The sequence below is a fragment of the Homo sapiens genome, chromosome 12 (genome assembly GCF_000001405.40).
Source record: "Homo sapiens chromosome 12, GRCh38.p14 Primary Assembly".
Taxonomy (NCBI): domain Eukaryota; kingdom Metazoa; phylum Chordata; class Mammalia; order Primates; family Hominidae; genus Homo; species Homo sapiens.
In genome coordinates, this window is record NC_000012.12 from 48159879 (window position 1) to 48187755 (window position 27877).

General features: G+C 43.8%; 1 protein-coding gene and 3 pseudogenes across 1 annotated transcript, besides 3 other annotated features; 2 read left to right on the forward strand and 2 right to left on the reverse strand.

Moving 5' to 3' along the window:
- Positions 315 to 1226, reverse strand: LOC100421855 (SCO1 cytochrome c oxidase assembly protein pseudogene; annotated as a pseudogene).
- Positions 5188 to 5482: a silencer, noted in NCBI's record as "tiled region #9525; HepG2 Repressive non-DNase unmatched - State 13:Ctcf". NCBI's record gives its function as "represses a minimal TATA promoter and a strong SV40 promoter by Sharpr-MPRA in HepG2 cells {active_cell/tissue: HepG2}" and the evidence as "EXISTENCE:reporter gene assay evidence [ECO:0000049][PMID:27701403]".
- Positions 5188 to 5542: a biological region, named in NCBI's record as "Sharpr-MPRA regulatory regions 9525 and 5417".
- Positions 5248 to 5542: a silencer, noted in NCBI's record as "tiled region #5417; HepG2 Repressive non-DNase unmatched - State 12:CtcfO". NCBI's record gives its function as "represses a minimal TATA promoter and a strong SV40 promoter by Sharpr-MPRA in HepG2 cells {active_cell/tissue: HepG2}" and the evidence as "EXISTENCE:reporter gene assay evidence [ECO:0000049][PMID:27701403]".
- On the reverse strand, positions 8776 to 9850 carry PHB1P18 (PHB1 pseudogene 18; annotated as a pseudogene).
- LOC100533659 (endoplasmic reticulum oxidoreductase 1 alpha pseudogene) lies at positions 11657 to 12177 on the forward strand (annotated as a pseudogene).
- On the forward strand, positions 23766 to 26048 carry CCDC184 (coiled-coil domain containing 184). Its single transcript, NM_001013635.4, has one exon. It carries the CDS (start codon positions 24245 to 24247, stop codon positions 24827 to 24829), a length of 585 nt encoding a protein of 194 aa, NP_001013657.3. The 5' UTR covers positions 23766 to 24244; the 3' UTR covers positions 24830 to 26048.
- Positions 26049 to 27877: the final 1829 nt, after the last annotated feature.

The window sequence follows — 27877 nt, forward strand, 5'->3', positions numbered from 1 at the left end:
CAAAGCTTCCTTTTTTTTTTTTTTTTGAGATGAAGTCTCACTCTGTCACCCAGGCTGGAGTGCAGTGGCACGATCTCAGCTCACTGCAACCTCCACCCACCTCCCGGGTTCAAGCAATTCTCCTGCCTTGGCCTCCTGAGTAGCTGGGGTTACAGGCGGGCACCATCACACCTGGCTAATTTTTGTATTTTTAGTAGAGACAGGGTATCACCATGATGGCCAGGCTGGTGTCGAACTCCTGACCTCAGGTGTTCCACCCACTTCGGTCTCCAAAAGTGTTGGGATTACAGGCGTGAGCCACCGCGCCTGGCTGCTTCCTTCCTCTTTAACAAGAGAATATTGCACCCAGCATCACTGCTTTGGCTAGCTCTTTTTTCCTGTGTGCCCTCATGTGTGCAGCAATTGAACTGGCTAACAATTTCTGCATTCTTCCTGGTCTGGCCAAAATAATCTGGAAACTCACCATCTGGCCCAATCAAAGACATTGTTATTGTATGATTCACTAACATGGTCTTCATCTTCATCCTTGGGGCTAGAGCTGTAATATACTCTGTATGCTCTGGCCACGTGATTGATCTCTTCTTTCGTGCCAATCAGGCCAACCAGTTTGGGAGAAAATTCTTTCACATAATTTGCAATGGCCTTTTTTATGTCCCTCTCTGGGTCAATGGTGATGAAAAGTTAAATTTGGCAGAGTTGGAACACTATCTCACCCACAACTTGAATTATTTTTTTCTAGTTCTTCTGGACAGATATCAGTAATGACTGAAACCAGAATAAATCAACAGCCACTGACCCAGGTAGTCTTTGTCAGTTTCAGGCTCTCCAAATGTGTTGTGAGGGAAAATGGTCCCCCAGTAAAGGCTTGTTGATGCTTCACTGCTGTTCCTTCTCTAGCTTCTCTGTCTTTTCTATTTTGAATACTTCACTCCAGGCAGTAAACCTCCTCAGATAGCAAATGTGAATGCTAAAGACTTCCAAGAAATAGGCCTGGGCTTCAAGGGGCATGTGCAGTCTCTGCAGTCCTTCTGCTCAGGCCCTGACCACCTCAAGGGTGGTTGGTGGTATCACTGCCTGAGGGGCCAGCTTCCCAGGCAGCTATCAGCAAACCCCCAGTCCTGCCACACTTCCTCTTGCATGCAGAATTGCCTTGGCAACACTCTCACAGTCTACTTGGCTGGGCCCCAAAGCTCATGTCAGCCAGGCAAGAGACACCAAAGTTGGCCCATACTGATTACTTTGAAGTGCCTCAGAGAATTCAGTGCGCAACAAAAGTTGGTTTCGGATACATTCAATCATCCTTTCATCAAACATTTACTGAGCACCTACTTTATTCCAGGCTTTGTGCTCAACTCTCCAGGGAAGACAGAAATGAAGACAGACAGTCTCTTATTATCAAGGGTTGGGAGACAGATATGAACATCCTCAACTGCAATTAATGATGATTATTTCAACAACATTGTTATGTCCAAAGTCAGTGTTGACAAACAGTTCTACCTCATGGTGAGATCAAGAGAGTGAAGGAAGGAAGGGTCTGTGAAGAGACTTCTTGGGGAGAAATTTGTATGTGCTGAGTCCCTACTCTCCTCCTACCCAGAGGGAAAGGAAGTACTGATGTTGCCTAAAGAGGGGCTTCTGTGGGACCAGAGAACTTGAAGATTGTTCCCCATAGTTGTAAAACAAAAACTGCACCAGTGCTTACTTATAAATTAAAGAGGGCTGTAGCCACAAAGTAGAGGTGGCTACATTGGTATCTGTCTGGACACCCAGATTCAGGAGGGATGACGAATGTATAAATGTTTTCCTGGACCAGATGTGGGCCACATGGAAGACAGCCAACGTGGGGTTGCCTTCGGTCTATCCAAATGGGCTGTCTAGAGGTATAGGGGGACCCGGTGGCTAGAAGCCAGAAATGAACACAGGGATGCTACAATCCACAGTTTGTCACAGTCAACCACTTGCATTGGTTTTGGCCAAAGGAACTCAAGTAAGAGATCTCTGATGATGGGAATCTGCAAAGAACCTTTTAAAGCAAGCTTTAAGAAAAAGAGTCAGCTTTAACCATGTGCAAGACCCAGGTAGTACAGACCTACCCTACCAAGAAAGAAAAACCTGCCCTATCTCCTTAGCTTTCCTACCTCCTCCCACTTTTACACAAGCAGGTTCAATAGCAGTTATCTAGTGGGGGAGGAAGAAAGTTGAGGAGAAAGCTGCAGGCAGCCACCAGCCATATGCCTTACATGGAGGAGGAGGAAAAGCAGTCTTAGATTAGTACCTTAGAATGAAGACTAAAGTATTGGATTACAGTTTTGAACTGGAAATATTCTAATTACTAAATAGAGACTATTTGGTTTTTTTGTTTTTGTTTTTTGTTTTTTGAGACAAAGTCTGGCTCTGTTGCCAGGCTAGAGTGCAGTGGCACGATCTCAGCTCACTGCAAACTTCGCTTCCCAGGTTCAAGTGATTCCCCTGCCTAAGCCTCCTGAGTAGCTGGGATTACAGGCAGGCACCACCATGACTGCCTAATTTTTGTACTTTTAGTAGAGAAGAGGTTTCACCATGTTGGCCAGGATGGTCTCAATCTCTTGACCTCATGATCCGCCCACCTTGGCCTCCTAAAGTGCTGGGATTACAGGCGTGAGCCACCATGGCCGGCCGAGACTTTTTGGTTTAAAGTGACTGTTACTTAAAGGATTGCCAATTATCAAAGAGTGACCAAAAAGTCAGGGGATCTTCCCAATTTTCTATTCAGGAGCAGGAGATTATTATCCTCCAATAAAAAATGTTTGTTTGTTTTTTTGAGATGGAGTCTGGCTCTGTCGTCTAGGCTGGAGTGCAGTGGTACCATCTTGGCTCACTGCAACCTCTGCCTCTCAGGTTCAAGCAATTCTCGAGCCTCTGCCTCCTGAGAAGCTGGGATTACAGGTGCCTGCCACCATGCCCAGCTAATTTTTTGTATTTTTAGTAGAGACAGGGTTTCACCATGTTGGCCAGGCTGGTCTTGAACTCTTGACCTCAAGTGATCCATGCCTTGGCCTCCCAAAGCGCTAAGGTTACAGGCATGAGCCACCATGCCCGGCAAGAAAAAAAATATTTTTAAAGTGGAAAAAGACAAAAAATAAACTTGTATTTTGATCACAGCCCATGTATCTTGCATTCACTATTCAGATTCCATCTCTGCATATTTTAGTTGGTTATTTCTGTTCTTGATGTTTTGATTACAAGTGATTCCATGAATTTTGTGTTTTAGTGTGCTGTGTCTCCCATAAGACTTTTAGGCCACTGTTTTTTTTCTTCCCTTCCCTCCTGATTCCAGTTCCGCTCTCAAGAAGTGCTCATTAGATGATGTTGATCAACAGTATGACGAATGTTCCTATTTTCAGACCTTGGCATAAACTTGATCTGGAAATTTGATAATGATGTTTTGCCTGTAATGATTGCTGCTATCACTGTTCAGCAGTATTAGTATCCAGACTCTGCGGGTACGGGGTATCCCAGTTTACAGACCTGGGTGTCTTGCCCTTTGAGTCTTGCCAGTACTGAATGGCCACAGGCTTTTGAGCAACTCCTAATTGGAGTAAAAAACCTTTATTCACTTGGCTGGCTCCATACCCTTTCCTGATTTTGAGTGGATCTTTCAGAGTGACAGTGTGCTGGGGGAGAGGAATTCTGCATTGCAAGCTTCTAAGTGGTAACATGAAGCATTTCACAACAGCTTTTAAAATCTCTGGCCAGAAATTATCAAATACTCCCCTGTCTTAAAGGCCCCATCCTTCTCTATCAGGGGTTGCCTGGCTAATGTTGATGGCAACGTTTCCCTGACACCCTTCCTAGAAAAAAGCAAGTTAAGTAAAAAGGGACCCCTTTCAAATAAGTTCTCCATCAACAAAGAAAAAGAAACAAACCAAAAGGGAGTTTGAGATACCCTAAGAGTGAAGGAAAGAGAGGGAATCAGTCAATGTTTACAAAATAGGGTAAAAAAATAAGATCCAAGTGTCAGACTAGTTGGCTAGTTGGGAAAAAATAGCTTTCTTTCAATAATGGAATATTTTACTTTACTTTGAATTTGTTCAATTTTTAGGACTATCACTTATAGCACATTCCTCATATTTAGAAATAATGTAATATTATGCAAACTTCATAAAGACCAAGATTCCAGTTCTGATAGTAGCTCTAGTTACTTTACTTGTAAAAGTAAGTACTTTTATAAGTAAAAGTAAAATTACTTACTAAAGTAAGTAATACTTTACCTGAGTCTCAGTTGTACAATGGGATGAGAGTATTAACACCTACTCCAAAAGTTAATTTCATAAAACCTAGACCACATTTGTGAAAAGTGGTTTTGTAAACTACATAAATGTTGACATGTCATCTTTATATGATTTTATATTTGTTCAAGGAGGTTACCAAATATCTCATCCTCCCAGTTACATTGTGGCGCCTTTAAAAGAGCAGAGATTTAGATTTCTATACTCATCTCTTTTGTCATTGCACAGTTCTAAACACACAATAGTTATTTAATAAATACAATGGAATTGAACTAAAATGAACAGATCTCCCAAAAATGGGAATAGTGGAGTGCCTCTATGTCCTAGTCCCTGACGTAGAAAAATTGAAAAGGAAGCTTTGGAACTAGAGCAAAGAAAAAGAAAGTTCAGAGGAAACATAATGTAAGTCTCATGAAACCTTTCATATGCTTAAACCTTGTACTAGAGAAAGTAATTCAGCAAAGAAAAGAACAGTATTAATGTGCAGCAGGGATACTCTCCCAAGACATGCCATCAGGATTAAACAAGGACTTCTTTCAGAAACTGCTCAGAGGCAGACATGCGCTCAATAGCCAAACTCTACTCTTTTTTTTTTTTCCTTTTAACTTTCCCCAGGGCTTGGGAAATTTTATGAATTATCTATTTTTTAAAAATTGGCTTTTAATCAATATTTTGTTATTATTTTTGGTCATATAGTCTACCAATATTTTCCACTATCAGAGCAATTATAAAACATTTTCAGTCTTCATAGAGAAAAATTGCCTGAAGGATTTTGAAAAAAAAAGTACAGTAAAAATACAAATAACAATTTTAATGATAATACTGAAATTATATATATATATGATACTATTTTTCCAAGAATGTAGGCATTTATAGCTAAATTACCTAGCAAATCAAGACTGAAGGGGACAAACTGGTAGGAGAGTTAATGTCGTCCAGGGGAGGGAAATTACAGAGGAAATGACTACTTGCTTGGTACAATTGGGTGGTCCAGATTAATCTGGAGAGTTCTATGAGCAAGACAAAGAGAAAAGAAAGGAAAAGAAAAAAGATCTGGTTCTCTGAATCCATTTGAGAAGCAAATTACAATCAATGTCAGAATTTTCTGCTCACCTGGGTCTATGCTATTTCTAATGGGAGTGTGTCTCCCCCTGGAGGGCAAGTAGAGCATTTGCTCCTTCTTGCTTCTTGCCCAAAGTTGAATGATTCGTTCTTGGTTCATTCATTGAGTCTTTGATTATATCATTAATTGGTTGATTGATTAATTCACCCATTAATTCAACAAATACTTATTAAGTTCTGTCACTGTGCTGTTTGTTGTGATAGACACTAAAGATCCAGCCAGCTAAGATCAAGAGAAATATGGTCCTGATCACTAGGAAAATTACAGTTTGATGTGAGAAACAAATATTAGATAGTCACCTGTATGCCTAAATAGTCACAATAGTGATGACTTCTGTAAAGGAAAAGTGCAATGGACTGACTATTTATGTCATCTCAAAGTTCATATGTTGAAATCCTAACCACCCCCCAAGGTGACAGTATTAAGAGGTGGGGCCTTCATGAAGGAGGTTATTAGGTCATAGGAGCACAGTCCTCGTGATGAGACTAGTGCCCTTCTAAAAGAGGGAACTTTGCCCCTTCCACCATATGAGGACACAGTGAGAAAGTTCTATCTATGAGCAAGTGGGGCCTCACCAGACACCAACATCTGGGATTTCTTGGACTTCCCAGCCTCCAGAGCTGTGAGAAATAAATTTCTGTTGTTTACAAGACACCCAGTTTACAGTACTTTTGTTATAGTGCCCAAATAAACAAAGAGAAATAGTAGAGAGGGTAATAGGATGATTCAGTAGAGGACCTAATTCAGGCTGGGAGGTCAAGAAAAGCTTCCCTGAGCATAGACCTGGAAGATGGGTGGAAACAACCAGGTCAAAGGTGTGGAGGTGTGGGGAGGGGGCCTCCCAGCCAATGGAGCAGGGTCAGGGTATTCAAAGACCCTAAGGAGGAAAGAGCTTAGGAACCTGGAAGACAAGGAAGAGGCCAGAATGAGAAGACAAGAAGCTGGAAAGGTAGGGAGGCTCCAGATCAGGTGCGGTCTTGGGGGACATGTTAAGGATTCTGAACTGTATCCCAAAAGAACAAGAAGCCTATCAACAGGTTTTATTCAAGTGACATGACCACATGTGTGTTTTTAAAGGACCACTTTGACTTTTTAAAGAAGAATGGATTATAGTGGAGCCAAGGCAAGGATTAAAATAGAGAAAACAGCAGCCTAAGTGATCTGGACAAAAAGTCAAGCAGGCTTAGATTTGAGTGGTGGCCATAGAAAGGGAGAGAAGGGGGTGAATTTGAAATATTTTAGTGTTAGGACTGATAGAACTTGGTGATTGGTTACAAGTTGGAGAAGGGTATTGTGGTCAAGAATGACTCCTAGGCTGGGCGCAGTGGCTCACACCTGTAATCCCACCACATTGTGAGGCCCAGGTGGGTGGATCATTTGAGGTCAGGAGTTCGAGACCAGCCTGGCCAACATGGTGAAACTCTGCCTCTACTGAAAATACAAAAATTAGCCGGGCGTGGTGATGAGTGCCTGTAATCCCAGCTACTCAGGAGGCTGAGGCAGGAGAATCGCTTGTACCCAGGAGGCGGAGGTTGTAGTGAGCTGAGATGGTGCCACTGCACTTCAGCCTGGGCAACAGAGAGAGAGAGACTCTGTGTATATATCTTTCTTTCTTTTTTTTTTTTTTTGAGATGGAGTCTTGCTCTGCTGCCCAGGCTAGAGTGCAGTGGCGCCATCTCAGTTCACTGCAAACTCCGCCTCCCAGGTTCAAGTGATTCTCCTGCCTCTGTCTCCCTAGTAGCTGGGATTACAGGGGCATGCCACCTCGCCCAGCTAATATTTGTATTTTTAGTAGAGACAGGGTTTTGCCATGTTGGCCAGGCTGGTCTCAAACTCCTGACCTCAGGTGATCTATCCACCTCAGCCTCCCAAAGTGCTAGGATTACAGGCATGAGCCACCATGCCTGGCCTATATATATATCTCTTTCTAAAAGTGTCCAAGATGGTTTAAAATGATATTCTTTGAAGACCCCTTATCCCAATTCAAAAATTTTTAATGACATAAATATAGCATTGAAACCAAAACCTAATAAAGATTATACAAAAGAGATAATTACAAACCAATATCATTTATGAATATCATAGGCAGAAATGCTTAAAAAAATTAGCAAATTGAATTAGACAGCACAGTATGTCATGACAAAGTAGAAACTGTTTTGGGAAGGTAAAGATGGTCCAATGTTAGGAAATTCATTAATATAATTAATATAATTATATCTAAGAAGGAAAGTCCTGTAATTATCTTCCTAGGTGCTGAAAAAGCATTTGAAAAAATTAAAGTTGAATTTCCTATAAAAGTAAGTTACAAAAGAAGAATGGGAGATAATTTTCTTAACATCATACAGCATCTTGTTTATCATCATCTTACTATTTTCATAGGAAAACACTGGAGGCATTCCTGTTAATGTCTGAAACAAGACAAGGATACCCACCATTACTGTAACATTAACACGATGTTGGAGGTATTTGCCAATGCATTTTTACAAAAGAAACCTATTGGATGTGTGAAAACTGTTGATGATATAGGTATACCTAGATAACAAAAGCAAATCAATGAATAAACTACACAAACAAAAAGATGAATCTATATGGTAGCAGAATATAAAAGCTATATACAGAAGTCAACAGGCTTCACACGTAAGATACAAGGATGAACCAGTTAGAAAATAATATGGAATCAAGAGCCAATTGGTAATAGTGACCACAATTACAAAACTCCTAGGTATAAAGGTAAAAGAAATATGTAAAGCCTATGAGGAAAACTATTAATATAATAGCTTCAGAGACATAAAACAGACCTGAAAAAAATGAAAGACATTCTAAGTGAATTTGTAAATTTAACATTATTCCAATAAAAAAGCCAAGGGTTTTTTTGTTTCACTTTGTTTTTTAGTTATACAAATTGATTCTTAAGTTCATATGGAAGAAATAACAAGAATATCCAAGAAAGTCCTGAAAAGAAGAGCAATGAGGAGGGGCCAGTCTTATCGGACATTTAAGATATTACAAAACCTTCATAATCAAACTAGTATAAAATTGGTGCATATAGACAGACACACTAATGGAACATAGTAGAAAGTCTAGGCATCAATCTAAGTACATATAAAAATTTAATGTATGTTAGACATTATAAAACAATGTGAAAAATGGACTTTAAAAATATATGCTGTTGAGACAACTGGGTACCATGTGGAAGAAGGTAACATTGGATCCATAGCTTATACTGCACATCCAAGAAAAACTCCACGTGGCTTCGTTAGCTAAACATGACTACATGGAAACTCTTCAAGTCTAGAAGAAGGCACGTGTAGATTTCTGTGTAAACTACCCATGCATCCCTGGGAATAGCGGGCAAAGCATTCCTATGTCTCAAAACCCAGAATCAATAAAAGACTAGTCAATTCTATTACATATATATGTATATATATATGTTATTTTACCTTTATTTCCTTCACTTTAAGCCAATCATGAAATTTCACAGTGATTTTTGGGGTGGAGGGGGTGGGCGGCGGTGTTAAGAATCATCGGGGCTGTGGCTCAATTGGCCCGCGGAGGTGCAGGCAGAGTGGGCAGGCCCTCACTGGAGCAGCCGGAGGAGCACGGTCTGCCCCGCCAGCAGGTAGATCATGCTCCGAGAGCATGAGAGCTGTTACGCGATGTCCTCCGCAGCTTCCAGCTTGGGCAACTCAGGCCGTCTCCTGCAGTGGCCAGTGAGTTGGCAATCAGCTCGGCTGCTTTGGAGTCGCCCTCAGCAGAGATGATGGCTGCCTTTTTCTGCTGCTCAGCCGTTTCCACCACAGATCTGGCCCTCTCTGCTTCCTGCTGAGCCACCTGTTTGGCTTATAACGCTTCTGTGAATTCCTTCCCGAAGGTCAGATGTGTCAAGGACACGTCGTCCAGGATGAGCCCTAAGGTGGCTGCTCGCTCCGTAAGGTCGTTGTTCACCTGCCTGGAGACCAACTCTCTCTGGGTGATTACTTCTCCAGCATCGAAGCTAGCCACCACTGACTTGAGGACCTTGGTCGTGGTGGACGTCAGCACACGCTCATCATAGTCGTCTCCGATGCTGAAGATGCGAGGAAGCTGGCTAACGATGGGCCGGAAGATGATGCGCAGTGTGATGTTGACATTCTGTAAATCTTTGCTACCAGTGATGACTGGTACATTACGAGGTGGAGAATGGCAGTCAAAGATAATTGGTTTCTGTACCCATGGGATGAGAAAGTGAGTCCCTTCCCCCACCACAATGTCCTGTACTCCACGGAATCGGTCAAAGATGACAGCTCTGCCGCCCAGCATACACATTATATAAGGCGGAGTTCACCACGCCTCCTGCAACAGCAAAGGCCGGGCCAAACTTGCCGATGGACTCAAACACTTTGGCTGCCATGTTTTCTTCTGCTGGACCCTCTCACACCTGCTTCCACTCTGATCTACACATGAATTCCCCAGCCACCCAATTCTATTATATATTGTTTTTTTAAAAATGTATAGCCCAAATACCATAAGCAAAGCCAAAGACAAATGAGTCACTGGACAAAACAATCGCAATTTTTACAACAGAATAAAAAGTAATCTCCCTAATTTACAGGAGCTCTGAGAAATAAAAAGACACAGATCCAGTAGAAAAATGAGCACAAGACATGAACAGATAGAAACAATTCATGCAAGTGGCCCTTAAAATAGTAAAACATGCACAACTCACTGAAAAAAGAAAGGCAAATTACATTACATTGAAACAGCATTTCTTATTATGTTGGCAAAAATTCAAAAGTTTGAGAGTACACTTTGTTGCTAAAACTCTAGGGAAAAGAGACACAGTGATATGCTACTGGTAGAAGTATAGAGTGATATAGTCCTTAAGGAAGGGAATTTAGTACAATCTAGCAAAATTACAAATGGATTAATCTGTCCTTTAACCCAGCAATGATATTTTTGGGGACTCTACACTAAAAGTACTTCTGTACAAATTTGAAATAATATATACACGGCCTGGTGCGGTGGCTCACCCTTGTAATCCCAGCACTTCAGGAGGCCAAGGCGGGTGGATCACGAGGTCAGGAGATCGGGACCACGGTGAAACCCCATCTCTACTAAAAATACAAAAAATTAGCTGGGCGTGGTGGCAGGCGCCTTTAAGTCCCAGCTACTCGGAGAGGCCGAGGCAGGAGAATGGCGTGAACCCGGGAGGAGGAGCTTGCAGTGAGCCGAGATCGCGCCACTGCACTCCAGCCTGGGTGACAGAGCGAGACTCCATCTCAAAAAAAAAAAAAAAAAAAAAAAGAAATAATATATACACAAGGCTAGTATTCATTGTGGTATTTTGAATGACACAAGTCTAGAAAATCCCCAAATATCCATCAATAGGGGAGCAGTTGAGTGGTTAAATAAACTGTAGTATATAGTGGAGTACTATGAACCCATAAACATGAGGAATATATGTATGTGTTGCTCTAGAATGATAGCCACAATATTTTATGAGAAGCTACTTTCGTGCAAAATGAAGCATTGGAAAGACAAAAGCAATAAAAGACTAGTAAATATAAAAGTAATAAAAATGGTTATCTACACAAGAGTAGGGAAGGAAATGGATGGAAATGGGAGAGGCCAGCACGATGGCTCACGCCTGTAATCACAGCACTTTGGGAGGCTGAGGTGGGTGGATCACCTGAAGTCAGGAGTTCAAGACCAGCCTGGCCAACATGGTGAAATCCCATTTTTACTAAAAATACAAAATTAGCCGAACATGTTGTTGCATGCCTGTAATCCCAGCTACTTGGGAGGCTGAGGCGGGAGAATCACTTGAACCTGGGAGGCAGAGGTTGCAGTGAGCTGAGATCACACCACTGCACTCTAGCCTGGGCAACAAAGTGAGACTCTGTCACAGAAAAAAAAAAAAAAAGAAAGAAATGGAAGGGAGATATGGCTGAGTATACCTTTTTATGTAGTTTCGACTTTAGAATCATGTAATCATTTAATATATTCAAAAATTAAGTTAAACCAAAAAGAGAAAAAAGAACAATCCCTAAAATTGAAACAAGTGAAATAAATAAAGCTAAGTGTTTATGAGGTTGGTAACATAACCAAAAAGAAAGATTTATTTCAAATGACTTTTAAACACAAGATTTTCTTTCCCTAGTGAAATATATTCTAGGAACAAAACAAACTACGAAGAACTCTTAAGCTTCATTCTGTAATTTTATTGTTACTTCTAATAGTGGTATTATAAAACTATTTTATGTATTTTATAAGATAAAGCAAGTTTAGTGTAAGAAGCAATAAAAATGTGAAATCAAATAAGTTAAACATCTAGTGTTTACATAAAATCTGCCAGCTACAAGTGTTCTGAAGATGCCAGTAATCTCACTGAAGACTATGGACAAGCTGAACAACTTGGATCTGTGGATGAATCTCTGAGCGGGAAAACACAAAAGACTGTTCTTCAGTGGACCAAGCAAGATGACTCCTCAGACAACGTCTGTGAAGCTGATGTCATACGGCACCCTGATGCTGAATATATAGATCGTACCTTAATCCTGAGAATTACAGGTGCCAGATGCTTGGAAGATACGGGATATCATGATCTATGAGGAAGACTTTCAAATTACAGACAAAAGACCTTTAAATATTTTGGCACTTCTATCAAGGGAAATGTGAGCAGAACATTTTTCACAGTTGGACAAAAGGACTCTGTATATAAAAAGAGCATTCTACAGACTTATATCTGGACTACATGTGAGCAAGAATGTGCATTTGAGTGCAAGATAGCATTTATAAGGTACTTGGCCTGGCGCAGTGTTTCACGCTGGTAATCCCAGCACTTTGGGAGGCCAAGGCAAGCAGGTAACCTGAGGTCAGGAGTTCAAGACCAGCCTGGCCAACATGGTGAAACCCCATCTCTACTAAAATACAAATAATTAACCGGGCATGGCGTGCCTGCAGTCCCACCTACTCAGAGGCTGAGGCAGGAAAATCACATGAACCTGGGTGGCAGAGGTTGCAGTGAGCTGAGATCATGCCACTGCACTCCAGCCTGGGCAACAGAATGAGACTCCATCTCAAAAACAAAACAAAACAAAACAAAACAAAACAAAACAAAAACCCAACAACAAAAACATCAACATACTTATTTGGAAAAGAAATGGGGACACACATTACAGAATTCCATCAGAGGTTTGATGGCATTTTGACTGAAGGGGAAGCTCCAAGAAGGCTCAAGAACTTGTATTTTCTCTGCTTAATAAAATTAAGGCCTTAATCTAAAATGCAACCACTCTCTGAGCATCCAGATTTTCAACTATTCATTGGAAATTAAGTTCAAGGTTCAGAAAACAAAAAGTTGCTTCTGGAAATATTTTAGGAAGTCAAATCATTTCTTTTGTATTTTGATGGAATTCTTTTTTTTTTTCTTTTTCTTTTTTTCTTTTTTCTTTCTTTCTTTTTTTTTTTTTTTTTTTTTTTTTTGAGACGAAGTCTCGCTCTGTCGCCCAGGCTGGAGTGCAGTGGCGCGATCTTGGCTCACTGCACGCTCTGCCTGCTGGGTTCACGCCATTCTCCTGCCTCAGCTTCCCGAGTAGCTGGGACTATACAGGCGCCTGCCACCACGTCCGCTAATTTTTTTTTATTTTTTAGTACAGACGGGGTTTCACCATGTTAGCCAGGATGGTCTCGATCTCCTGACCTCGTGATCCGCCCGCCTCAGCCTCCCAAAGTGCTGGGATTACAGGTGTGAGCCACCGCACCCGGCCAATGGAATTCTTATTTAAATTTTTTTGGCTTGAGATGGAAGAAACAGCAAAGTAACTAAAGACAGATTTTAGGCTGCATTATAGAAGTGTTTCAAAAAATAGGGATTGCGTTGGTTGGTTTAAATGTCAACTGTGGGGAAAGCTTCAGGCTCAGGATTTGGCACTGCTCTCAAGATCTTGTTTTCAGAGAAATTGATAGCAAATGTGCCAGAAAGTGGGCCCGGTTAGGAATCCCATCTAACCAGACAAAAAATAGTATTGCTTAATGCATTTGGAAGAATTTCCACAAGTGTGAAAGGATTGTAAAACATCAGGAACTTGTTGCAAATTATTAATTTAAATATGATTTGAAATATGCCTGTTTCTAGACAATGAAGGCCAGGATTATCAAATTTTTAAATGAATAACATTTGAAGTATTCACAGAAAATGTATAGCAAATTATAGACTATGGAAGACAAGAATCAGGGAACTTGAAGACATAGAAGCTATTCAAAATGAAGCACAGAGAGAAAAGAAAAGATTGAAAAAGAAAGGACCAATGCAAAAGTGCTCTGTGTGGTATATCAAATATTTTAACATAATGCAATTGACATTTCAGAAGAGCCATGGGCTAAGAATGTATATTTAAAAATATGGCCGGGCGTGGTGGCTTATGCCTGTAATCCCAGCAGTTTGGGAGGCCGAGGTGGGTGGATCACCTGAGGTCAGGAGCTTGAGACCATCCTGGCCAACCTGGCGAAACCATGTCTCTACTAAAAATACAAAAATTAGCCAGGCATGGTGGTGGGTGTCTGTAATCCCAGCTACTTGGGAGGCTGAGGCAGGAGAATGACTTGAACCTGGGAGGCGGAGGTTGCAGTGAGCTGAGATGGCGCCACTGCACTCCAACCTGGGTGACAAGACCAAAACTCCGTCTCCAAAAAAAATGAAGGTATATTTTTAAATAATGGCTAAGGCTGGGCACGGTGGCTCATGCCTGTAACCCCAGCACTTTGGGAGGCTGAGACGGGTGGATCATTTGAGGTCAGGAGTTGGAGACCGGCCTGGCCAACATGATGAAACCCAGTCTCTACTAAAAATACAAAAATTAGCTGGCCATGGTTGTGGGTGCCTGTAACCTTAGCTACTCGGGAGGCTGAGACAGGAGAATTGCTTGAACCTGGAGGTGGAGATTGCGGTGAGCCAAGATTGTGCCACTGCACTCCAGCCAGGGAGAGAGAGTGAGGCTTCATCTCAAAAAATAATAATAATAATAATAATAATAATAATAAAAGCTAACATTTTTCCAAATTTGAAAGCTCAATAAAATCCAGGCAGAATAAACAAAGAAAACCATTCCCATGCACATCATAACCAAGTTGCTACAAACCAAGGATAAAGACAAAAATTCTAAAAGCAGCCAGATGAAAAAGATACATAGGCCAGGAGCAGTTGCTCATGCCTGTAATCCCAGCACTTTGGGAGGCCGAGGCAGGCAGATCACCTGAGGTCGGGAGTTTGAGACCAGCCTGACCCACATGGAGAAACCCCATCTCTACTAAAAATATAAAATTAGCTGGGCATGGTGGCGCATGCCTATAATTCCAGCTACTCAGGAGACTGAGGCAGGAGAATCGCTTGAACTCAGGAGGCAGAGGTTGCGATGAGCCGAGATCGTGCCATTGCACACCAGCCTGGGCAACAAGAGCGAAACTCCGTCTCAAAAAAAAAAAAAAAAAAAGAAAGAAAAAGACACATTATATATACAGCAGGGATTGGTAAACTATGACCCCTGGGTCAAATCTAGATCACTTCTTATTTCTGCAAAAAAAAGTTTTAGTGGAACACAGCCATACACACTCATTTATGTATTTGCTATGGCTGTTTCTGTGTTACAGTGGCAGAGTTGGTAGTTGCAACAGAGACCGTATGGCTTCCAAAGCCTAAAAGATTTACTATATGGATGTTTATGAAAGGTTTGCCATCCCTGATGTAGAGGAATAAATAAAAAATGCCAACAGATTTCTTATAAAAGCTATGTAAAGTGAAAGACAAGATTGAGCCAGAATTTTTTCTACCTCGCAAAAATGTCTTTCAAAAATAAAGGTGAAATAAAGATTTTTTTTATACCAACAAAGGTGAAATGAAAAGTTCTTCAGGCAAAAGAAAAATAATAACAAAAATTTGATCAATATAAAAAGATAGAGTGTGAAAAGTAATAAATATAAGTAAAATAGTTAAAACATTTTCTATTTATTTATTTAAAACAGAGTCTTGCTCTGTCACCCAGACTGGCATACAATGGTGCGATCACGGCTCACTGTAGCCTCGACCTCCCAGGCTCAAACAATCCTACTCCCTCAGCCTCCTTGGTAGCTGGCACTACAAGTGTGTGCCACCATGCCCGGCTAATTTTTGTATTTACGGGGTTTCACCATGTTGTCCAGGCTGGTCTTGAACTCCTGGGCTCCAATGATCCTCCCACCTTGGCCTTCCAAAGGGCTGGGATTGTAGATGTAAGCCACTGCACTCAACCTCTCACTTTTTAATCTCTTGAAAAAAAAATAAATGACTATTTAAAGTAGAAATAATAAAAATCCGGTTGGGTGTTAGCATACGTAGAAGCAATATGTATGACAAAAACAATAAAAAACATAAGGGAGAAACTGAAAGTAAATTGTTATAAGATTTTTACACTATCTAAAAGTAGACTATGATATGTTACAGGTGTATATTGTAAATCCTAGAGCTGCACTGTCCAATCTGCTAGCCTCTAGTCACATGTAGCAGAGGAATAGTCTTCCAGGCAGGAGATCGCAAGGGCCTGAGTATGGCATTGCTTGGGGAAATAGGGAGAAGAAAATGGATTAGAGAAGCATCTGAGGGTATTAAGAGACTGTGGTAATCTTTCTATTGTGAAAAACATGCAATCATTTCAGAATTCATTCAACTTTTGGTTTGGAGTTAAAATGTGGGAGGTAGAATTGCTGAAATAGCACAGAGCTGGTCTCAGGGATATGTAAAGCTGTTTTTTCCCAAGCTAAACTCAGACAAGTAAGACTGTCTTCTGGTTTTCAAGGCTTCCTGGAGAGGAAATGCAGGCTCGTTCCTCTCTCACACATCCATCACTCTCAAGTTCTTTAAGAAATCTAACCTAAATGCTTTATCCTGCATCTTGACCTCACAGTGGAAGTAGGAATAATGCTAGTTTGTCTCAGAGTTACAAATCCTTTGAGAAATTCTTTCTAGCTTTTCCTTCTCTCACATCTGTTGACTATTTGCTTTCTTCCATTAGGTCTTAGGTCTCAAATTACAGCAGTAAGTTTCAAATTACATCATCTCCATCTCTTAGAATCTTTCTCCACCATCTCTCCTTTCTAGGAAGAGACTCTCCCCTAACACACTAGTTTAAGTCCACAAGTATGAAGCAGAGGAGCTTATGTCCCACAGACCTCCCTGCAGTTTAAACTCAGTGATTTCAGTGTGAATAATGTGAAATTGTGAGCAGTTTATCATTTAATATACCTGGAGGTGTCTTGGATGATACTCATTGTTCTAATGAGCAGCAAAACTACTAATGCCTTTGGTAAGAGGGAATTGGTTTTTAATAGTATAAGAAGCAGCTGGAAGCCCATGTGTGCTATGGTGATGGATGAACTGGGATGAATGAGAGATTGGATATGTGACTCAGGATCATCCTCTGAGGAGAATCTATCCCAGTTTAACTCATTTGATCCAGGCAATTACCAGTAAACCTGACATACTGTTCCCTTCTGCGTCTTAGAGACACAGACAACACTGTGGAGAATAACAAGACCTTACCAAAAATGTCTCACTTAGGTTGTTTAGAGACTAACCTCAATTTCTGGAATATTATTTTTCTGATCCATGTTTGCTGTTTGGTTTTAATTTAGTTTTACTATCCTGGGAAGGCTGACCTTTATGTATTTTTTGTTATATATTTGATCAATATGGGGAGTTTTTGTCTGGTTTGGTTTTAGAACAGAAGCAAGGAAAGGAGGCAGCAAGGGACAAGAAGGACTCAATTTTATTACAGTAAAACATGTAACTCGGTGATAGCACTACCCTAAATCACCCTAGTCTACCAGTTTAGGAACACAAAGAGAAGACATACACAAGCTTTAAAGCATAGTAATCTCTATGTTCATAATGTCCCTTTCTCAGTTAGCTACTAATCTTACAACCAGAAACAGGGTACTTTTTCTGAGGCTGTCTCCACCAGAATAAGAATATAAATCAGGAGTTCTCCTTAGCATGCAGTATGAAGATACAGGCTTGATATCATCCCATTCCCGGGTAATGCTGAGGGGAGCAGAGAGCGTGCATTTCTTTGACCCTGAGTTCTGACAAAACTTGGCCCTGGTATCTTTGAGACTTCGATGGGGATAGTGGTGGAATATCCCAAGGGAGGTTAGAGGGGTGGTGACAGCTCTCATTTCAAAGCTGCAAGCACTTTTCTATTTTGTAAGAAATAGAGACTTCCATTTGTCTCTGAAGTAAGTATTCCTTTGTTCAAGAAAGGCCACCAACAGGGCCACTTAATAGTGTGACCATAAGCCATAGATTACCGAAGTAGATGGTTGAAACTGAAAAAGCTAAAATGTTCTCGAAGAAAAGGCAGAGTTGGAGCTTTGCAGACTACATGTCCTTAAGGGAGTTGTTTCTTTTTCTAGGTATGGATTTAGACTTCATTCATTCATCTATTCAACACATATTTATTGAGCATCTGCCATGTGCCAGGCACTATTCTAGGTGCTACAGATAAGGCAGTGAAGAAAACAAACCCCCTGCTCTAATGGATCTTACACCCTAGTTGGGAGTAAAAGATAAATAAATAAGACATAAAATAAATAAACAAAAATACAGGATAACAGATATTGATAACTGGTGTGGAGAAGAATAAAGCAAAGCAAAAGGATTAGAGTTCCAGCATGAAAGTGATCCTGGTGCTTTAAAACAAACAAAAGAGCAGGCATTGTGCCTATGAACTGTGAACGAGTGGTCAACCGTAGAAGATGGAGCTATTTTTATGCAAGACTTCTTAAAATAGGGGCCTCGGGGTTCTAGGTGGAAAAGTTGGGGGAAAGGGTCCTTCTCCTCACTTTTGCCTAAGATCCAGCACTTCTACAGTACTTTGAAGACATGGATTACATTTTGGGGCCCCTGTCCATGGTATCATCACAAATACTAGTATAGTCTCCATCTGTGTTTGGGCAATGGAAACAGAATGCACCCTCACAGTGGCTGCTAAACTGTAACTGATAGTGCCTCGCTGGCCCTTGAGAATGTGGTAGAAATAACTTTTGACATTATTTGGGGGGGCCTCTGAGAGGGATGGACTTAGTATAACTAGATGTATTAGTAACAGGGAGACCTACAAAGTTTTGTAGAATTGCGTAGGATAGAATAGCACAGACTTCCTCAAGATATGACAGGCAAGGAAGGTCCTGGAAGTTTGCATAAGTCAGCTATGAGGGACATTAAATTCCTAAAAATACCTTTAATAGAAGGGAAGTTTATGGCACACATATCATAGTCCCTATCCTACCATAGATATTTGGACATGATTTCCTTCAAATTGGACTGATACTGTGGGAGAGGCAATTGGTCAAACAAAATTGCCTCCATTGAACTAGAAATTGGTTTTTCAGGTGGTGCAGCACTGTCAGTGCCTGACTTGGGGCCAAACCAGGCTCTAAGCTGTTGCAAAAATGGCAACTTTCTGGGGGCAAAATAATTTATGGAAAAGATGGAAGGTGCTTGAGACCATGCACCAGGGATCATTGGTGGTTCTGGAGTTCTGAATGCTTCTGTGTCCATGGCCAGCTACCTAGAGACTTGGGTTGGAACTGGTGACATCACAGTGATACTGAATACATGTTTGAATATGCACTGAGAGGGGGAAAAGGCTCTGCAAGTGTTGATCTAAGAGAAGCTGCTGCAGGGGGCAGTGCAGAAAGGGGAGATGGGATGACACTGGCAAAACAGGTTTAATTGGAATGGGGGGTTATTGTCAGTGGAGATTCATATTGCATGAGAAGTTGGAAGGTCCCCTAGAATTCTTGCTCTGAGTTAAATTAATATGGAAGAGAAATAAGAGGTTAGGGGTAGCCTTAAAGACTCCTAAAAATAGTTTGAAGTCACAGAGCAAGCAACTGGAAGTGTAGTTCAGGCCTTACGTGAGGTGTGGGTAGGTGGCTCACCACACGGCCATGTCTATGACACTAAATAATCTTGAGGGTGTGGACAGTTGGATCCCCTCTCCAGTTAGAGGCTCATAAGGGCCCAGGGTCTTTGCAAACCACCATGTCCATTTCTCTGTGCAAACGTCGGGGAGATGAACAAAGCAGATTGGCTGTAATGCCAGGTAAACCACTCTCTGGTGCTGAGAAAAACTAGCCTATGTGACAGGCAAAACCCACAACAATGCGAATATTCTCAGCCTCTCCATCTTTTTTATCCTCTGAGAAGACCCCTGTAATTGATAGCTGGGATTCCCAGTACTTATGCAGATTGGGGGAATGAGGAACAGAATCAAAAGAGCTAAAATAAGCTTGGCCTGATTTATGTGAGGACAGGAAGCTTCTTGGAGGAGAGAAAAAGAATACATCCAAGAAGTGAAGAGAGCCAGGGAGTGAGAAAGCAAGGGCCAGGCTTGAGAGAAAGTGTGGGAGTGTTTGGGGAGAGAGAGACCAGCAGCAACAGCTATGCCATAATGTGTGGAACAAATAGAGAAGGAAGGAAGACAAGTTTCAGATGTTTCGCTGTGCACTAAGAATGTAAACCCCTTTAAAGTTTGCCCAGAGACTGTAATAAAAATCTAAATTTCTTTTTAATTCTTTTGGCTATTGGATATGTTTGAGTGTGATATCAAGCTGTGATGGGCCACAAAACAGGTCAGCTTCATGAAAGTTATATTTGGGGGATACTGTCTGGGATTTGGCGCCTAAGGTACAGCAGTCAGCTATATCTTGTTTTAAATCATTGCTCTAGACCTGAGTCTAGCCAGCATCATCGGATTTATAGTGCAAAAAATACACCAGCTATAGAAAATAGAAACTAGAGATACACGAGACACCAGACAGAGGAAAATGGCAGAGCCTCTTCCAAATCCCAATTTTAGTGAGAATATGAGGTTTGAAACTAGGTGTACCTGATGGAAACCTATATGTAGATAGCATGAGGGTCTCTCCCTATCACAGATTGATAAGAGTGGGATGAAGAGAATAGCTAAGGGGATTCCCAGAGGATAATAGAAAAGCAGGAAGCAGAAGCTGTGCGGGGGTTATATTCTCTTATTATGTGGCAGTTCCTCTGAATATTCTAGTAGGATGGCTGGGGTATACATCTGGCCACCTTTTGCTTGGAAATGGACCCATGCAACTAACTATAGGGCATTGGGATCCAGAGGGCCCAGGCCTGTAACCCATCTAGCTGACTGAGGCTCTGCCTCTGTTCTCCTTATTCTCCTTATTTTCCTGAGACTAGACTTTTCTACCTCATCTCATTTTCACACAGAGTTCCTGAAATGATCTGGTTTTCTATCAGATGCACCAATGTCTCCTTCCTATATTTTCTTTTTCTTTTCTTTTCTCTTTTCTTTTCTTTTCCTTCCCCTTCCCCTTCCCTTTCCCTTTCTTTCTCTTTCTTTCTTTCCTTCTTTCTTTTCTTTCTTTCTTTCTTTCTTTTCTTTCTTTTTCTTTCTTTCTTTTTCTTTCTTTCTTTTCTCTCTCTCTCTCTCTCTCTTTCTTTCTTTCGACTAAGTCTTGCTCTGTCACCCAGGCTGGAGTGCAGTGGCACAATCTTGGCTCACTGCAACCTCTGCCTCCTGGGTTTGAGCGACTGTCCTGCCTCAGCCTCTGGAGTAGCTGGGATTACAGGTGCCCACCACCATGCCCAGCTAATTTTTGTGTTTTTAGTACAGACAGGGCTTCACCATGTTGACCAGGCTGATCTCAAACTACTGATCTTAAGTGATCCACCCACCTCAGCCTCCCACAATGCTGGGATTACAGGCATGAGCCACCGCACCCAGCCACCTTCCTATATTTTCAAATCCTGCTACTGGTCCACTCCCCCAGTTCCCACCTACCCTTGGCTCTCAAATGTTTGACCTGGAACTTGACTGGACCAGCCAAACTGCTTGATCTCTGCACATGTTTCCCATGGCCTTTTGTGCTTCTCCAATAATTTCCCCTCCCTCTGGGCTCAGATCCCTTGTACTCTCAGTGGACTTCATGGCCAGCACCTCTGGACAGCATGATGTAATCTTATGCTGAAAGCCTTCACATCCTCAAGAATAGTGGCAAAAGGCCTTGTATGATGACATACCATAGCTCCTCCTGTATGGGGGCTATGCTTAGTGTAAGCTTATGGGATTTCAACAATGAGAGGTCCCCCACTGGGACAGAGTCACTCTTTGTAGGTAGAAGGTAGGGATATACCTGAAGGGTGAATTGGCAAGATGAAATCTTCCATGTGAAGTGCTTGTCAAGAGATGTAAAGTAACAGACCTAGACAGAAAGTCTGAAAGCCATGCCAGTCTTTTCTGGCTATAGCAGAGCTCTCCTCGGAAGGATGAAAGCAGGGTTGGACCTATAAGCCCTGAGAACATGCTTGCTGTAGTATAATCAGAAACTTATGCTGTGTAAGCTCAGCTGTTTTCATGTGTTCTGTTTCTATTTCTAGTTTTCCTATAGTTTTTAATAAAGTCTCTTTGTAAACACCAGCCCACTTCAGCTGTGCTTATGGAAACCAAGGAAAAGCATTTCTGTCCTCTCTTGAGCCAGAGTTTCAGGAGTAATCTAAGGTGTTATTACCACGTGTGGGGTACAGAGCAGAGGTAGGAGTCCTAAGCAAGGTGAGAGTGCTGGAAATCTGTAGAATGAAGGAAGAAATGAGCAAGCAAATAGAATTGAATCATTAGTTTCAGAAAATACAATACTGTGTTTTTAAAATTTGTTCATATATTTGTTTTGGGAAATCAAATTTTTAATGGCTGCATAATACTTTATGTATCAGCAATTTTGCCTTAGTTTATTTAAACATTCTGCTGCTGGTCATTTAGGATAGTCCCCACTTGTTTCTATTTTAAAAGCAGTAAGATTGGTATAGGTCAAGCAGTCCTCTAGTGTCACAAAACTTTCCCTGGGCCAGCCTCACTCTTCATCACCAAGCACATAACCAGGGAAACCCAAAGGTAACACATTTGCTGTCACTGAACCGCCAGTCTACAAAACACTCACCTTTACGTAGTTCTTCTCTATCTTGAAGTGATATAGTTTGTTTCTCTTTCCCAGATTTATTCTTATGAACTTCATTTTTGGCTTCCGATCACTTGGCTTCCCTAATTTCCTAGGGTCATTATTAATTATTGTGCTCTGCCCAGGTGCTGATTCCTTCTCAATCTGCAATCATCTACGTATATTAAAGACAATTTTTCTTCTTCCTCCACCCTTCCTGCTCCACCCCTTAAATAGGGAAAGGGCTTGTCACAAAGGTTGGGGATACTCAGTGTATGTCTGAACTTGGGCACTGAAAGAGAGAGCGGGAATTACTCTAACACACAGTCCCCCCATCCATACCCTCCACACAACGGTCAACAGTTTACCTTTTCACCTGTGAGATGATGCAGACTGTTATTCAGAATTAGAAATAGTATTATAGATTATCCAGTCCAATTCCCTAACAGATGAGGAAAATGATGTGGCCAAGGTCGCTGAATGAATAAGTGGCAGAAACGAAACTGAATTCAGGTCTCCTAAAACCCACTACGTTTGGCTTGGGGAGTTCTGGATGAGAGCGTGGGACTTGGTGGTTTTTGTTATTCATTCAATAACTATATTAAGCATCTACATACTAGGTGCCAGGCACTATTTTAGGAGCTGGGGATTCCGTGATGGAGGGTGCAGGGGAGACAAAAATCTCTCCCCTTATGGAGCTTTCATTCTCAAAACTTAAGCACTTGGCCTCCCCATCTGGGACAAACTCCCAGAGACCTGCGTAGGAGCGGTAGGGTCTCATAAAGGAGGGAGTCCCATCCTTCCCCCGCTCCGGTGATTTCTATAGCTAGAGGGCTGATTTACTGCAGAAACCTCCGTAGCGCCCTCCTCCTGCCTCTGCACCGTCAGGCCCGGTGGGTCCGGCTCCAGAGCGCCACCGTGCCCCAGCTCAACTCTGGGATCATTAGCAACAGCCTCTCTACCCTCTCCGCTTTCCTGCGCATCGCTGGAGGACAGGGAGGCAGGACTCGACTTTAGCGCCATCCTCTGAGAAAGGAATGCGGGCTGGAAAAATCTTTCCAGGGCAGTCTCGCTGGGTCTCATACCCCGGCTAGGGGAGGGACGATCTCTCCCGGACTTGGAGGTTTCTGCAGCAGACGGCTCTCTCATACTTCCCTATTAAACATTGCGACCACACGCTCTTTCCAGCCTTGGCCGAAGCCACTGTAGCGTCCCCTCTCCTCCCCCCACCCCGCTAGTCCAGACTCCAGAGCCCCACTGCAGCTTCCAGCCATCCTCCCTTTTTCTTCGCCACTTCCTGGTTACCATGGAGACACACGTCATTTACGTGCCGTGCGTCGCCTTGGAAACAGAGGAGCATCCGCGACACCCCCGGGAGACCCACCCCAGCTGCTGCTGCCACACTCGCGGGCGCTGCCCGGTAATGGCCTGGGGGAGTCCCGAGTCCGACGCGCCGCTGGCCTCAGCCTGGACGCGGACCCCTCCGCGAGCGCGTCTGTGACCCACGGAACCGGCAGGCGCTCTCTGCTTGTGGCGCCCAGAGGGCGGCGCTGACACGGGCGCGATCCGGGAGGCGAGGCAGGGCAGGGCACTTTCGTCCCGGGGCGATCCCAAGAGACGCCGGCTCTGGGACCCTCGCCGGGTCCTCGTCCCGCAGCCTCTTCTCGGCCTCCCGCGATCCTGCCTGCGCCCTCTGCCCAGGACTCGTCTCTCACGTCGGCTCCCCGCCAGTCTCGGGAGCCTCCGCTTCCCTCGGCTCCCGCTAGCCCCTCCCGGGACCTCTCCCCCTCCACCCCCTCCCCCACCCCGGAGGCCGGGCTGGACGCGACCCAGAGCCTCCGCCACCCGCTTCTGCCACTCAATGGAGGACGGTCTGCTGGAGATCATGACCAAGGACGGCGGCGACATGCCGGCGCCCCTGGAGGTGTCCACCGTGCCGGCAGTGGGGGACGTGATCTCCGGGGAGTACAACGGCGGCATGAAGGAACTGATGGAGCACCTGAAAGCCCAGCTGCAAGCCCTGTTTGAGGACGTGAGGGCCATGAGGGGGGCCCTGGACGAGCAGGCCTCGCACATCCAGGTGCTCTCGGACGACGTGTGCGCCAACCAGCGAGCCATCGTCTCCATGTGCCAGATTATGACCACTGCGCCCCGCCAGGGCGGCTTGGGCGTGGTCGGCGGCAAGGGGAGCTTCCAGAGCGACCCCCAAGAGCCGGAGACTCCTTCGCCTGGGATCGGGGACAGCGGCTTGCTGGGTCGCGATCCCGAGGACGAGGAGGAAGAGGAAGAAGAGAAGGAGATGCCCAGCCCCGCCACACCCTCCAGTCACTGTGAGCGCCCCGAAAGCCCCTGTGCTGGTCTCCTTGGGGGGGACGGGCCACTTGTGGAGCCCCTCGACATGCCCGACATTACCCTGCTGCAACTGGAGGGCGAGGCCTCCCTGTGAGGGGACTCCGTGGGGCACTACCTTCCCGGGCTGTCTTTGGGTTTCCGAGTGCATGACGCGAGGGGGACTGAACGGCGCGGTGCGGCATGCTTCACTTGGACAGCTGCTCTTGTGGGTCAGGCAGAGAGAGACTCCCTCGAGGAAGGATTTGTAGGGTGAAGGACTTTGGGAGCATCGAGAATTCTTTCTGCCCAACTAAGCGAATTATAGCGAACTGCGGAAAGGTGAGGCTCCGGGAGAGGAAGCGCCCATCTCTGGACTCCCATCCATCCCTATCCTGTCCTTTCCCCCTTCCCAGACAACAGGAGAACCCGTGAATTGTGTAAATAAAATTCTGCTTTTTCTATTCTGAAAAAGGACTTACCTAGGACCATGGCAAATAATCTCTAACAATTTACCTGGAAATTAAGGAATTGGGGGTATTTTGTTCTGGCAACAGGAAATTTACCCTTCTGCTGAAATCCAAGATATTCAGTGCTCTGCAGAAGCCTCTCCCCCTCACAGATCTCTGCGGCTGCTGATTGGTAAAGGAAGCTTGAGGAGGGAACTGCAGCCCTAGGAATCTGGGTGAATGGGGTTCCAAGGGCCCCTGGGCTGGGAGGAGCTGGCTATGAATGTGCATGAAGACATAATAGCTCAACCTCTAGGATTTTGCATGCAGAGCGGATCCTGCCTTGTCACTGACTTCATCTGGGATTGCTTTTCCACTCCCTGGGGCTTAGAGAACAAAGAGCCCGGTTCACAGGCAGAGACTCGGGGGTGCTCAGCAGCAGCCCAGATTTAGGGGACATTTGAGGGACTCTTGGGGCCGCAGCCAAAAACTGTCTCTCCTGGCTACACCTGCTTAACTTCAGTTCCTTTTTCTGTCAATATGTCCTTGCCCACTGCCTCTCGGTGTTGCCTTCATAATGTCTTGTGTGTGTTATGTGTGTCTACTTGTGTAGTAGTGTGTGAGCCCTCAGGGGCAGGGCTTGTGGCTCTGGTGTTAGGTTCAGGGGCTTCAGACCCTTCTACGAGCTCCAAGCTATCAATGGCGCTTTTCTCTCCCTCTTCCCCCAACCAGGGCATGGAGCATGTGGCTGTCCTGAGGTTCTTTTACTGATGTGCCGCCCTTCCACCTCCTCAAGTGGTGACTTTGTGTGCCCTCCCCCTCCTTTGTGTATTCCTTCTCAATGCTTTCCTTGGTGTTAACCTTAATAAAAAGGCGTCATCTCCCCTCCTTGCTGACTGGTACTAAGGGGATATCAGGGTGGGTCTTAGTGGGAACTGCAGGGGCCATGCCTTCCCTCCTCTCTCCTTGCCTCCAGTTCAAGGAGTTGACTGTCCCTGCCCTGGTTGGGACAGGCATTGCCAACTCTCCCTGCTTTCCCTTCTGTCCTGGACCTTGACCTCAAGCTGCCCTGGGGAAGGAGGTGGTAAGTGTTGAGACTCCCATGCTAACATGAGTTTTTAGTAGCCAGAACTCCAAATGTGCAGGAGACTTCTTTTTCAGTGAAGCATCCCAGTGAAGCCCTGGGAAATGATTTCCAAATCTGGGTCCTGGAATGGCAGATACTGCACCTGTTCCATGGAGGGAGTGGGGTGGGGGTATTGTTCTGGAGGGATTGCCTGGGATCTCTGGAAATAGTGACACATCACAAAGGGAAACCACAATAACTGCCTCAGGCCTCTAGTGGAGAACCCGGGTAAGGTGTTCCCCAGAGGGCTTGACTGACAGCTCTAGTCTACTCCCTTGGGCAATGGAGATTTCTTGAGGCTGCCCCTGAACAAAATTTGAGAGCAGAATGAGCTAGGGTGCCGTGTGTATATGTGCATGTGTGTGTGTATATGTGCGTGTGTGTGTGTGTGTGTGTGTGTGTGTGTGCGCTAGCTGCTGGTAGCTGCAGAGTGGTGGAAAGAGAGAGCACTAAAGACTTAAATCTCAGTTCTAACAGTTGAGTGCTTGAGGCTTAGTTTCTGGATATGTAAAATGGGGACAAGAAGTTGTTGGGGAGAAAAATATATAGGACTCCTAGGAAGTCTTGTGCAAATGTTAGTTTCCTTATAGTTTTATTGGAGTAGGGGGTGGTGGTGACTGGCTCCTCTGGGAAAACAAAGCTACCCAGGGAAGGTTCTAGAAACTTTCTTTTTATATAATCTTTTCCTATCTGAAGAATCCTTGAGGCCGGGCGCAGTGGCTCACACCTGTAATCCCAGCACTTTGGGAGGCCAAGGCAGGCTGATCACCTGTGGTTGGGAGTTCGAGCCCAGCCTGACCAACATGGAGGAACCCCATCTCTACTAAAAATACAAAATTAGCCAGGCGTGGTGGCACATGCCTGTAATCCCAGCTACTCGGGAGGCTGAGGCAGGAGAATCACTTGAACCCGGGAGGTGGAGGTTGTGGTGAGCCAAGATTGTGCCATTGAACTCCAGCCTGGGCATCAAGAGCGAAACTTTGTTTCAAAAAAAAAAACCCTTATTCTTCTTTAGAATTAGATATTAGTTGTTCTATCTAATTCTACTTATCTGATTCTATCTACAGAATTCTAGTTATTTAGAATTAGACGGGACTAAGGAAAGGGGAATGGTGAGATTCCTAAGCTAGCATGGACCTTTTCATCATAAATGAAAGGGTCATCATGAATGTCATGTAACTATGGGCCAAAAAGGTCTTGGGGGACAGCCAGACCTGAACACATAGGCTGGCCAGAGGAATCTTGAGTTATGCAGTGATTGGGGAATGTGTGCTGGGGGCCCTAGAGAGAGCTGCTAAAGTATATAAGTGGGAAAGTGTCCCTGAGGACTGGGAGATAGGTTCCTATTATAGTTCCAGCAGTAGGCACTAAGAAAAACAGTAACTATCATTGATTGAGCATCTACTATGTGCCAGACACTGTACCTAATTTTATCTCCCAACAGCCCTATGAACTAGGCACTATTATTATTTTCATATAACAGACTCTAAGATGCTCAGGGTCACAGGCTAGTACTTGGCAGAGCCAGGACTTAAACCCAGATCTGTCTGACTTAAAAAGCCCTAGATGGAAACCACTTTGCTAACTGCTC

What these genes read in the sequence shown, in the direction of transcription:
- CCDC184 (NM_001013635.4), top strand. Translation starts at nt 24,245, where the DNA reads ATGGAGGACGGTCTGCTGGAGATCATGACCAAGGACGGCGGCGACATG.